Source organism: Homo sapiens, chromosome 1 (genome assembly GCF_000001405.40).
Source record: "Homo sapiens chromosome 1, GRCh38.p14 Primary Assembly".
NCBI lineage: Eukaryota > Metazoa > Chordata > Mammalia > Primates > Hominidae > Homo > Homo sapiens.
Window position 1 is genome coordinate 187,535,231 of NC_000001.11, and position 13,730 is coordinate 187,548,960.

At 36.0% G+C, this 13,730-nt stretch overlaps 1 long non-coding RNA gene across 2 annotated transcripts in view; it reads right to left on the bottom strand.

The window, feature by feature from the left end:
- Positions 1-12,454, bottom strand: part of LOC105371656 (uncharacterized) — a 62,271-nt gene extending 49,817 nt beyond the window's left edge. The window contains exons 1-2 of one of the 2 annotated variants that reach the window (XR_922371.3): positions 12,412-12,454; positions 11,304-11,410 (exon numbers count right to left, since the gene is read on the bottom strand). This is a non-coding gene — a long non-coding RNA (uncharacterized LOC105371656). Of the gene's footprint in view, positions 1-11,288; positions 11,411-12,411 lie in introns of both variants that reach the window. The other variant, XR_922370.3, reaches the window with a different exon arrangement.
- Positions 12,455-13,730: the final 1,276 nt, after the last annotated feature.

Consider the following 13,730-nt stretch of genomic DNA (forward strand, 5'->3'; position numbering starts at 1 on the left):
AAATGGAAAATATGTACCCATTAAATAATTGTTTTGTTGCCTTCTCATTTAATAGTGACAACACTGCCACTTTAGCAATTCTTAAAATATATGGTTGTTTTTATATATTTATACCAAAACTTATTTTCGATTTAAAAAATTGTGGTAAAATGTACATAATTTGCTACCTGCACCATTTTAAGACATAGAGTTCAGTGGTATTAGCTACACTCAGGTTGTTGTGTAAACATCACCACTATCCATTTCCAGAATTCTTCTCATCTTACAAAACTAAAACTCTATACTCATTTAACAACTCTTTACTTTTCCCTCCCCGTCTCCCAGCAATTATCACTCTACTTTTCTTACTTCTATGAATTTGACTGTGCTAAGTACTTTATATAAGTGGAATCATGCAGTGTTTTTTTTTTTTTAGAGTTGGCTTATTTCACTTAGAATAATGTCTCCAAGGTTCATCTATGTTATAGTATATGTCAGAATTTCCTCTTTATTTAAGGTTGGATAATATTTTAGTGTATGTATATACCACATTTTGTTTGTCCATTCTGTTAGTGAATATCTTGATTGCTTCTACTTTTTGGTTATAGTAACAATGCTGCTATAAACATGGGTATATAAATATCTGTTTGAGTCCCTGCTACCACTTCTTTTTGGTATATAACCAGAAATTGAATTGCTGGATATATGATTAATATGGTAATTTATGTTTAATTTTATGAGGAATTGCTTTACCATTTTCTACAGTGGCTTCCCACTTTGCATCCCACAAGCAATGCACAAGGGTTCTAACTTCTTCATGTTCTCATGGTATTAGGCAGGATTCTCCAGAGAAACAAAACTGATAGAATGTATGTGTGTCAGAACTGATAGAATGTACGTGTGTATATATACATGTATATATGTATTTGTATATATACATGTATATATATTTATATATACACACAGATACTCAACACACACAAAACTCAATTATTTTTTAAAAACAATATACACACATAAATATATATACACACACATACATACATGTGTATCTAAATAAATATATATATATATAGAGAGAGAGAGAGATGAGAGAGCGAGTGAGCAAGAGAGAGAAAGAGAGATTTTAAGAAATTGTCTCATACAATAGTGGAAGTTAGCAAGTTCAAAATCTGCAAGATAGTAGGCTGAAAGGATGAAGAGCCAGGGAAGAGTTAATGCTGTAGTTTCACTTCAAAGACAGAATTTCTTCTTCCTCTGGAGAGTTCAGTCTTTTTCTATTATAGTCTTTATGTGATTGGGTGAGGCCAACTCATACTGTGGAAGACAATCTGCTTTATTCAAAGTCTGCCGATTTAGCCTTTGAGCATCTAAAAAATACCTTCACAAAAACAACTAGAATAGTGTTTGACCAAGTGTCTGTGTACTGTGGCCTGGCCAATTTGACATGTAAAATTAATTATCACACTTACTATCATCTGTTGTTACTATTCTTTCCCTTTTTTGATAATAGCCATTATTATGGGTATACGATGTTATCTCATTGTTTTCACATTTCTCGCCTTTAGTAAGTTTTACAACCAAAATCTCCTGTTCAGAGTAAACCAAAACCAAGTTTGTAACTCTTTTCCCAACCATTCTCACCCTAATTTTTATGTCTGCAGACTTTTTTTTCTATAGTTGTAGCTCTAGAGACCTATTTGGTCATATATTGGGGTCTATATGCCACTTGGCAGTAAGCAGGACAAACTCTGTTACTGGAAGCTAACACAGTCAACACTGTGCAGATTTAACTTGAAAGCTATTGTACTATGATCTGTCATAGGCATTTTGGAAGTTATCATTGAAAATATACAAATTTCTAACATAAGATTCTTCCCTTGATAGTAGTCCTTTAAAATTACATATAATTTAGACAATTAATTGTGAACCAGAAATATGCAGATTAAAATGACTCTGGACATCAAGAAAGCAGTTTCTCTCCATCCTAGTCAACATTTGTTGTTGTTTTTTTTAATAATAGCAGTCTAATGCGTGTGACGTGATATCTCATTTTGATATGATTTTGATTTGCGTTTCTCTAATGACCAGTATGTTAGACATCGTTTCATGTGCTTATTGATTATCTGTATACCTTGTGAAAAATGCCTATTCAAATCTTTTACCTATATTTTAATCAGGTTTATGTCATTGTCATTATTGTTGAATTGTAGTTCTTTTTATATTCTGGATTGAATCCCTTAACAAATATATGATTTGCAAAATTTTCTCCCATTCCCTGCTTTTTCTCTATATTAATAGTCTCTTTTGATGCACAAGTTTTTGAAGTAGTGCAATTATCTATTTTTTCTTTTGTTAGTATTATATCCAAAAAAAATTGCTAACGCCAATGTCATAATTTTTCCCCTATTTTTCTTCAAAATGTGTTATAGTTTTAGCTCTTATGTTTAGGTCTTTGATCCAAACACATCAATTTTGGTTATTTACTTACAAATCTGTTTTCCATACTACACTTCTAGGGACAGCAGCAAAGGGGGATAATCTTTATTTACTATTCCCCAGGTTTGAAAAGCTATGCCTGAAATTTTATAAATTCATCATAAATGTCTGATGACTAAAAAATAAATGATTAATAAAAATGAAAATACTAACATCTTTCTATCTCAGGCATTATTCTAAGCATTTTAGATGCGTATAATTCATTTTATGCTTAAAAATAACTATTAGTGAAGAAACTAAAGCACTCACATGTTAAATTTCTTGGCCAAGATTTCATCGATAGTAAGTGACAAACTTTGGAATTCATGTGCATATACGTATATTAAATGATGAAGCAGTTTAGAACAGTGCAATCTGCTAGATGGCAAACTGAAGCAAACAGAGCATAGCAGAGGTTTTCAAATTTGGCTTCGCATCAGAATTGCTTGGAAGAGCTTTAAAAAATATAGATTCTTGGACCACACTCCAGACATACTGAGATACTGAGAAGTTGTATTTTAAAAATCATCTTTGGTGATTTTTATGCAGTCAGCCTGGTATCTGCCTAAGCAAAATTGTTTCAAAATCACTGAACACTATCAGAACACGACAATTTCTCATTTTTTTTTACAGGAAATGATCAGAAAGCACTGGAAATATACCCTTGCTGCTGTTATCAGCTATTCAACTGTCTTCTTCCAGTGAGAATTGAAATTCTTTGAATATAGAAAAAATATCTGGGAATTCATAGGGCTCGGTTTGCTGGAATAGAATGGGGAGCATTAGTACTGTTAGGAGATAAAAGAAGTGTATTTAAAAAGGCAGAGCCCAAACTTGTGTAATGGTAACTGAAGTAGGTGAGTGTATAAATCAATCTGCACAAATCATATAGAAAGAAAATAAAAAAAGAGCTTGAAGATACTCTACTCCAATTCACTCATTTATAAAACAACCTATGAACAGTAGCCAAACTTTAAGTGAACAAAATAACAATTTGAGACAATCAATTAATGACTAAAGAATGAATCAACCCTGAAGATGTGTAAAGTATCAATTATGTGGTGACAGAAAGGGAATCCTATCAAACACAATTTGCCCTATAGAGCCTAGAAAAACATTTCAAAATGTTGGAGAACGTGAAGCCTCATGTTCACTTATGTGTGAAGACACGTGTAACTGCAACAGAACCTCCCTCTCTTCACAGCCTGAATGTGAAGTGGGCCCGATTAAGAATCAGAACCTAGTATACAGTATTATTAGTATTATTAGAAATAATTGCATATGTAGCCCCTATGTCTCGGCAATATGTACTCTGAAGTGCCTCATTTAAGAGCCAGGAATGAAGAATCTGGACTTACATATATACAAATGTGAATCACTATCTATTGCTTAGAATATCTGAAGTATGTGATAGTCAGAAAACAATTTATCACCTTATATGGCTTTGGATTGGACTACTTCTGAAAATTAATGTTTTACATTGAGAAAGTATGGTCTTTGTAGAAGAGAGATGTAAAACTCAACAATTTCAGTTTAAGCAACTGATATGTGTGTGCACGTACAGTGTCAATGTGTGTGTGAACCCACAGTAGAGGGAAAGATTCAAAGAGTCCAATCAGAGAAATTGGGAGAGTGTGAGGGTGAAAATGTCTGAAATCATGCTAGGGGAGAGAGTCAACCGAGTGCTGCCCTAGAATATTTTGTGGGACTGATGATGCCACAGGGGACTGTTAACGGTACTGTTAAAACCTGCTGTTATTTTCCAGCTGTTCCAGATGTCAGGAGTATATTCTAGGAGGAGAACATGTGATACAGAGTTGGGATGGGAGACTTTTTTCCCAAAATGTGAGTGAAGGTTTGAATATTAGAAGAAAATATTCCCTTCATACTGGAAGGGAGATAAGATCTGAAAATAAGAAGTCAGGTTAGGAACAGGGAAGAGATCATGGAGAACCCACTAGTGAGAAATTTAATATTTTACGTGCTTCTCTGACTATGGGAAAAGCAGTATCATGCATCTTTAAGTTTCTTGCCTCATGTGTTGTGATATATTTTATTTCATCTGTGTGTCTTGTATAAACACAGTATGTAATTCAGTGACACATTTTTACTTGGTTATGCAAACAACTTTAGTTCATAAACAAGAAAAAACTTCTAGCATAGTTATTTTACATTCTGATCTCAATACCCATCAAAGATATGTAAGCAAGTCTCTGAAATTGGGTATCATTTTATTTTCCACATTATTATAATATGCTATCTTATTAAAATTACTATATTTACTAGAATGCATGTGGTATATTTTTCACGGGATGAATTAATGATATAAAGATGGTATTGATATAGACAAGGTTGTTTCCTACTCACTCTTATAACAACAGGATATTTTATCATCCACAAATACTGATGCAGAGATGCTAAGTCCCTATATCCCAGGAACAATTCCACTCTTCATTTAACTTATAAAAGAGAAGAAGGTTTTTACTAGGAAAAACCTATAATCTACCCACTTACTTTCCTATTTCTCTTCCAATTCACCTTTAATCATTTTAGTCTGTTTCTGAGACAATAAATATATAACTCTGCCTTAAAACAGGAATTGATGAGGGAACAATTCACCCAAACTGATTTGCTTTGGCATATTTTGTCTGTCTCGGAATCTAATACGCATCTGCTATCATTTTCATGAAAATGCTTCTGATCAGTAATCAACCATTTTTATTAGTAAGTTAATACCTCTCCTAATGATTTTACATTTTAATGAAAATGTAAATGCTAGGTGTAATGCTAGACATATGAATTTGTGTGCCTACTGTAGCTACCAAGTTTTTTTTTTTAAAAAAAAAGTGGAAATGCATTTATTTGTTTTGAATTGTATTGATTTTTCCAGAATACGTGATAAAGTGCACAAGTCTTATGTATATAGCCCCATGAATTTTTTTTTTACTTTATTATTATTATACTTTAAGTTTTAGGATACTTGTGCGCAATGTGCAGGTTATATATGTATACATGTGCCATGCTGGTGCGCTGCACCCACTAACTTGTCATCTAGCATTAGGTATATCTCCCAATGCTATCCATCCCCCCTCCCCTCACCCCACAACAGTCCCCAGAGTGTGATGTTCCCCTTCCTGTGTCCATGTGTTCTCATTGTTCAATTCCCACCTATGAGTGAGAATATGCGGTGTTTGGTTTTTTGTTCTTGCAATAAGTTTACTGAGAATGATGATTTCCAATTTCATCCATGTCCCTACAAAGCACATGCACTCATCATTTTTTATGGCTGCATAGTATTCCATGGTGTATATGTGCCACATTTTCTTAATCCAGTCTATCATTGTTGGACATTTGGGTTGGTTCCAAGTCTTTGCTGTTGTGAATAATGCCGCAATAAACATACGTGTGCATGTGTCTTTATAGCAGCATGATTTATAGTCCTTTGGGTATATACCCAGTAATGGGATGGCTGGGTCAAATGGTATTTCTAGTTGTAGATCCCTGAGGAATTGCCACACTGACTTCCACAATGGTTGAACTAGTTTACAGTCCCACCAACAGTGTAAAAGTGTTCCTATTTCTCTACAACCTCTCCAGCACCTGTTGTTTCCTTTTTAATGATTGCCATTCTAACTGGTGTGAGATAGTATCTCATTGTGGTTTTGATTTGCATTTCTCTGATGGCCAGTGATGATGAGCATTTTTTCATGTGTTTTTTGGCTGCATAAATGTCTTCTTTTGAGAAGCATCTGTTCATGTCCTTCGCCCACTTTTTGATGGGGTTGTTTGTTCTTTTTTTGTAAATTTGCTTGAGTTCATTGTAGATTCTGGATATTAACCCTTTGTCAGATGAGTAGGTTGCAAAAATTTTCTCCCATTTTGTAGGTTGCCTGTTCACTCTGATGGTAGTTTCTTTTGCTGTGCAGAAGCTCTTTAATTAGATCCCATTTGTCAATTTTGGCTTTGGTTGCCATTGCTTTTGCTGTTTTAGACATGAAGTCCTTGCCCATGCCTATGTCCTGAATGGTAATGCCTAGGTTTTCTTCTAGGGTTTTTATGGTTTTAGGTCTAACGTTTAAGTCTTTAATCCATCTTGAATTGATTTTTGTATAAGGTGTAAGGAAGGGATCCAGTTTCAGCTTTCTACATATGGCTAGCCAGTTTTCCCAGCACCATTTATTAAATAGGGAATCCTTTCCCCATTGCTTGTTTTTCTCAGGTTTGTCAAAGATCAGATAGTTGTAGATATGCGGCGTTATTTCCGACGGCTCTGTTCTGTTCCATTGATCTATATCTCTGTTTTGGTACCAGTACCATGCTGTTTTGGTTACTGTAGCCTTGTAGTATAGTTTGAAGTCAGGTAGTGTGATGCCTCCAGCTTTGTTCTTTTGGCTTAGGATTGACTTCATGATGTGGGCTCTTTTTTGGTTCCATATGAACTTTAAAGTAGTTTTTTCCAATTCTGTGAAGAAAGTCATTGGTAGCTTGATGCGGATGGCATTGAATCTGTAAATTACCTTGGGCAGAATGGCCATTTTCATAATATTGATTCTTCCTACCCATGAGCATGGAATGTTCTTCCATTTGTTTGTATCCTCTTTTATTTCCTTGAGCAATGGTTTGTAGTTCTCCTTGAAGAGGTCCTTCACATCCCTTGTAAGTTGGATTCCTAGGTATTTTATTCTCTTTGAAGCAATTGTGAATGGGAGTTCACTCATGGTTTGGCTGTTTGTCTGTTGTTGGTGTATAAGAATGCTTGTGATTTTTGTACATTGATTTTGTATCCTGAGACTTTGCTGAAGTTGCTTATCAGCTTAAGGAGATTTGGGGCTGAGACAATGGGGTTTTCTAGATATACAATCATGTCATCTGCAAACAGGGACAATTTGACTTCCTCTTTTCCTAATTGAATACCCTTTATTTCCTTCTCCTGCCTAATTGCCCTGGCCAGAACTTCCAACACTATGTTGAATAGGAGTGGTGAGAGAGTGCATCCCTGTCTTGTGCCACTTTTCAAAGGGAATGCTTCCAGTTTTTGCCCATTCAGTATGCTATTGGCTGTGGGTTTGTCATAGACAGCTCTTATTTTGAGATACATCCAATCAATCCTAATTTATTGAGAGTTTTTAGCATGAAGGGTTGTTGAATTTTGTCAAAGGCCTTTTCTGCATCTATTGAGATAATCATGTGGTTTTTGTCTTTGGCTCTGTTTATATGCTGGATTACATTTATTGATTTGCGTATATTGAACAAGCCTTGCATCCCAGGGATGAAGCCCACTTGATCATGGTGGATAAGCTTTTTGATGTGCTGCTGGATTCGGTTTGCCAGTATTTTACTGAGGATTTTTGCATCAATGTTCATCAAGGATATTGGTCTAAAATTCTCTTTTTTGGTTGTGTCTCTGCCCGGCTTTGGTATCCGGATGATGCTGGCCTCATAAAATGAGTTAGGGAGGATTCCCTCTTTTTCTACTGATTGGAATAGTTTCAGAAGGAATGGTACCAGTTCCTCCTTGTACCTCTGGTAGAATTTGGCTGTGAATCCATCTGGTCCTAGACTCTTTTTAGTTGGTAAGCTATTTATTATTGCCACAATTTCAGCTCCTGTTATTGGTCTATTCAGAGATTCAACTTCTTCCTGGTTTAGTCTTGGGAGAGTGTATGTGTTGAGGAATTTATCCATTTCTTCTAGATTTTCTAGTTTATTTGCGTAGAGGTGTTTGTAGTATTCTCTGATGGTAGTTTGTATTTCTGTGGGATCGGTGGTGATATCCCCTTTATCATTTTTTATTGCGTCTATTTGATTCTTCTCTTTTTCTTTATTAGTCTTGCTAGCGGTCTATCAATTTTGTTGATCCTTTCAAAAAACCAGCTCCTGGATTCATTAATTTTTTGAAGGGTTTTTTGTGTCTCTATTTCCTTCAGTTCTGCTCTGATTTTAGTTATTTCTTGCCTTCTGCTAGCTTTTGAATGTGTTTGCTCTTGCTTTTCTAGTTCTTTTAATTGTGATGTTAGGGGTCAATTTTGGATCTTTCCTGCTTTCTCTTGTGGGCCTTTAGTGCTATAAATTTCCCTCTACACACTGCTTTGAATGTGTCCCAGAGATTCTGGTATGTTGTGTCTTTGTTCTCGTTGGTTTCAAAGAACATCTTTATTTCTGCCTTCACTTCGTTATGTACCGAGTAGTCATTCAGGAGCCCAAGTTTTCTTAAGTGAACTCCTGAAACTGGTTAAAACTTCAGACACAATATTATACCTTCTCATTTTTCTAAGGAAACCAATAATCCATATATCTCTTTAACTCTATATTGTCCAGTTCCAAGTGGCATGCTGTATTTTAACTGATAACAATCTTCCTCCACCAGTCGGAGAAAATGTTTTGAATTGGGTGAGAAGCCAAGGAATATGTCTCAATCCTCATCATAAAGGGGTCCAGAGCACTGTGTGACACTATTCACCGCATCCTCCCTATTGAAACTCTGACTTCATTTGGCTTCTACTTTTCAAGCTGTCTGGCCCCGCCTCAGGCACCATTGGTTCACCCTTCCCCACCCATTAATTAGCCATTAAAAGCTAAGATTCTGTGGGGCTTAGTATCAGACTAATTTCTCCTTTCTGCTCTCCCTCTCTATAGGTCATTGCATTCAAACCAGTGATTCACTACCCTCTGCATACCAATAACTAGCAAATTTATGTAGTTTTCAAAATCTTTTTTGTTGAGTTCAGACTCATATAGACATTTCCATTTAGATACCTTATAAAGATCCTTACTTTCAACAGGTCCCAAACTGTTCTCCTAATATCCATCTCATCCTTTCCTATCTCAAACCTGGTCATTTTCCTTTGTTTCATGTCCTAGGAAATGGCATCACCAAACTTCTGGATGCACAAGCCAGAAATCTTGTCTTCCTATCAACTCTTGTATTGAGATCCAGTGCCAAATCTTTTATTACCATCTTAACATCTCTTGAATTCTAACAGTACTAATGTAGAATTAGTAATCCCTGTACAAATTGCAATCAAGGGAGCAACCACCTTTGCCTTCTCCAAATACCTTCCTTGCCAAAGCAGCTCTCTGTACTGTATTCATAGTCATATTTTCAAAATGAGGAACTTACCATTTGCAATACACCCCATCCCCAAACCACTGTCAAACCTTACCCAACTTAAAACTCTCTCTGATTACCCTATTGCTTTTAATTTACAGACCAAACAATTTCATAAGAACCACTTGTTCACATGTAATTCTGCCCATTCTTCGGGCTTCTTTCAATAACTGGTTCTCTGAGCATCCGTCACATGGGTCTCTCTCCACTTCCTCAGACAGGCCATGTTTCTTCCCATCACAGCTCTGAATGTGGATTACCTCTCTCTGAAATGACCTCCAATGTCATCAACCCTCTTTGCCCAGTTGATCCCTACTCACCAGACAAATCTCAGCTCAATGGCTGTCCAGAACTTTCTAGACACTCAGATTAAGACAGATTCCTATACTCTATGACCTCATAAAATTGTGTTTCTTTTCTTTAGGACATTTAACCTTCATATTTAAGTATATCTTTTCTGTCTTACTTAGGTTTCCTTCCTGCTGTGAAGTCATTCTGAGATTAGCCTGCATTAGTGTAGACCAGATTTTAATCTTTACTCACAAAGGATATGCACTAATAAATGCTTTATATATATATATATATTTTTATTATACTTTTAAGTTCTAGGGTACATGTGCACAACGTGCAGGTTTGTTACATATGTATACATGTGCCATGTTGGTGTGCTGCACCCATTAACTTTTAATATAATATTTGCCATGCATATAATTATCTATTTATCTTTTCTTTTCTCTTCCCCTCCCCCCTTTTTTAGGTGCTCTACTGTTTTGTTTTTGACAGTGGTTTATTGTTTTTATTGCCAGCTTTTCTTGGTTCATTTCTTAATGCTGAAAGTCTTACCTCACCTTTGTGGTGTTGATCTCAGTGAAAGGTTGACATTCACTTAAGGTTTGTTTCAAAACATTTTGGCCTATTTTAAATTTAATGCCATCTTTATACTGTTTAAAGAAAAACTTCAGGCAAATTAATTTTAGAGAGTTTAATCAAGCAAAGAAAAATTCATGAATTGTGCAACCTCCTGCATCAGAGTAGGCTCAGAGACTCCAGCACAGCCACGTGGTGGAAGATTTATAAACAGAAAAAGGAAAGTGGCCTACAGAAAATGGACATGGGGAGGTGTGGTGGCTCACACCTGTAATCCCGGCACTCTGGGCGGCCAAGGCGGGTGGATCACTTGAGGTCAGGAGTTCCAGACCAGCCTGGCCAACATGGTGAAACCCCTGTCTCTACTAAAAATACAAGAATTAACCAGACGTGGTGGTGCTTGCCTGTAATCTCACCTACTCTGGAGGCTGAGGTGGAGGTTGCAGTGAGCTGAGATTGCACCACTGCTCTCCAGCCTGGGTGACAGAGCGAGATCTTGTCTCAAAACAACAACAACAACAAAAGACATGATGTAGAAAAACAGCCAGATTGTTTATATGTTTGCCTTATTTGAACACGGTTTGAACAGTTGTCCCCCTTTGACTGGCCAAAACTCGGTGACTGGCACGAGAATAGGTTACAGTCTGTTTATATCTCCATTTAGGTTATAGTTCACACGTATAGAGAGACCTTTAGGCTGAACTTAAAATACGTAAGCAAGCAACTTCAGGCTAAACTTGATTTAACACAAACTTCTAAATAAGGTAGTCAAGTTTTACTAACATAATTTTTACAGAAAAGAAAGCCAGGTTATTGCCTATGGCTCGGTAGTATTTGGGGCAATAAACATGGCTACCTAATACAGGCTTACTGCGTATGGCCACGCTGGCTGTGAATCTGATGAAAATCGTGCCTTCTAGAGTTTTGTAGAGAACAGTCTTCACACCACATCCAGGGACCTGGCAATACAGTGCCCTCCTGCAACAATCAAGAAATTTTTAATCCAGTACTTTTCCCCAGGACAACTTTCCTTTTCTACACACACACACACACACATTCCTACACACTCATAAACATTTTTCACCATGCATTCATTGTCCTTATGCCCTCCAAATTAAATCAGCAAATTAAATCAGTGCTAGAAATAGGAAGAAACTTTCTGGATTCTACCTTTATGTTAAGAACGAATAACGGTAATTATTCCATAATACTGCAGGGTGAAAATGTACGGAAAAACATTTTCTTGCTAATGTATATACAGTGCCCATACTGTACTTACGTGTCTACTCCTGGCTAATCTATTTATTACATAGCTAAACAAAGCAACATTTTGGAACAATACTTGTAGGTTTTCAACATTCTAAAAAGGTCTGGCAGTCAGTCCCTGTGTTTCAAACCTAAGATTAAAGCAATAATTTATTTCATAGTTTCTGTGAAGATATCATAAGTTCTCATCTCTAAGATAATTTCAGCATGGATTTATTGATGCATGCTATATGTGGTTTAACTGAGTGTATGTTTTCTTTGCATGGGGCTATGAAGTGTCTAGATAGGAAGTAGCAAATAAAGAAAACTCAAGACATGTTGCTTGTTACAAATTGATTTCAAATATTCATGCCAGTAAGAAAGAAAATGAACAGATAATGTAAACTGTTCCTCTATTTTGAGGAATAGCGTTCTTTGCAATCTACTTTAAAAGCTTCTAGCAGAAATTACTTCTCAGAGAAATTTTAAATAACCTAAATTAACTTGACACAGATTACCTAAAATTACAATGCAATTGTCATTCTGGACTACTGGAAAAATGAATAATCTTTCTTTAAGAAGCCTCCAGGCTGGGTGTGTTGGTGCACACTTGCAAGCCCAGCACTTTGGGAGGCTGCTTGAGGCCAGGAATTTGCTATCAGCCTGGGCAACACAGCAAGACCCCATCTCTAAATTTTTTTGTTTTCAAATCAGCCTGGCATGGTGGCACATACCTGTGGTCCCAGCTACTTTGGAGGCTGAAGTGGGAGAATTGCTTGAGCCCAGGAGTTTGAGGCTGAGTGAGCTATGATCACACCACTGCATTCCAGCCTGAGTGACAGAGTGAGACCCTGTCTCAGAAAAAAGAAACTTCTTGTGAGAGATTCATTCTAATACTTATATTTTCACATTAGCTTGAAAAAAACATGAATCAGTTCATTAGGTATTCCCATTTCTTATAATTGTGGAATAAATGAGAATCACATATAACTATTACATGTATTTCAAAATTACTTATATTGAACTCTGAAGTAAAATGCATTTTTTAATTCATACATATGCATCTGACACTTTTGGCAAACAGAAGCGTCAGTGGATAAAGACTCATGAAAAACTGAATACCTGGTTTCCTGTCCTGAATCTACTTCTCTCTAGCCTTGTAATCTTAAAAAAAATCACTTTTCCTCTCTATTTCTTAATTTCCTTATCTGAAGATTAAGATAACCATCATACAGAGTTTTGTGAGGCACAGATCTAAAACACCACTCAAATATATACACAGCAGTATTAACACATGCAATTTTATGTTTTAATATTATGATTCACAAAAAATTTGACTTCTTGACTAAAAACTGTAAAGTTTATACTTACTTTTCCCACTCCTGTTTCTCACACATGTATGTGTATGTGTGTGCATGTGTGTGTGTGTATGCATGTGTGTATATGTATTTAGCATCTATTGATTTGTCTTAAGCCTCTTAGGTTCAATGGACAAATTCAGCTTCTTCCACATGTAAGTAACTGCCTAATTTTATTTTTAAGGTATATACACTGAACCATTTAACCATAGGGAGAGCAACTTAGCCAAAGTCACACTCTTTTCTGGCATTGAAGTAAAACTTCACCCTCTGCCAACCCCCCTCCCTTTCTTTGCCTTCACCTGCTCTGATCCCATCAGTAGTCCTAATACTTCTGGCATGTTATTTTTCATCCCAGAGTCTGCCTCATGAGGAAAGCCATCCACAGCAATGAGTTTACTCATGTTATTCTCACTTTTAAAGAAGACTAAAATGAGACACAGAGATTAAAAGCTTAAGTTCTCTCAAGCATTTAGTAACAGACCCAGTGATTAAATCCAGTTAGAGTCCAGAGCCAGCAGAAGAGTTTTGTGTTGTTGATACTAATCTTTAATAAATAAGTGCTATGCATAATTTAAATCCTAACAGAAGTTAAAAATCGTTCTCACTCCTGTTATATAGCTAGCATTTACTTGCTATCTAAACAAACAAATATACCAATAGTTTTTTTAAAAAAAAAAAAAAAACAAGGCCGG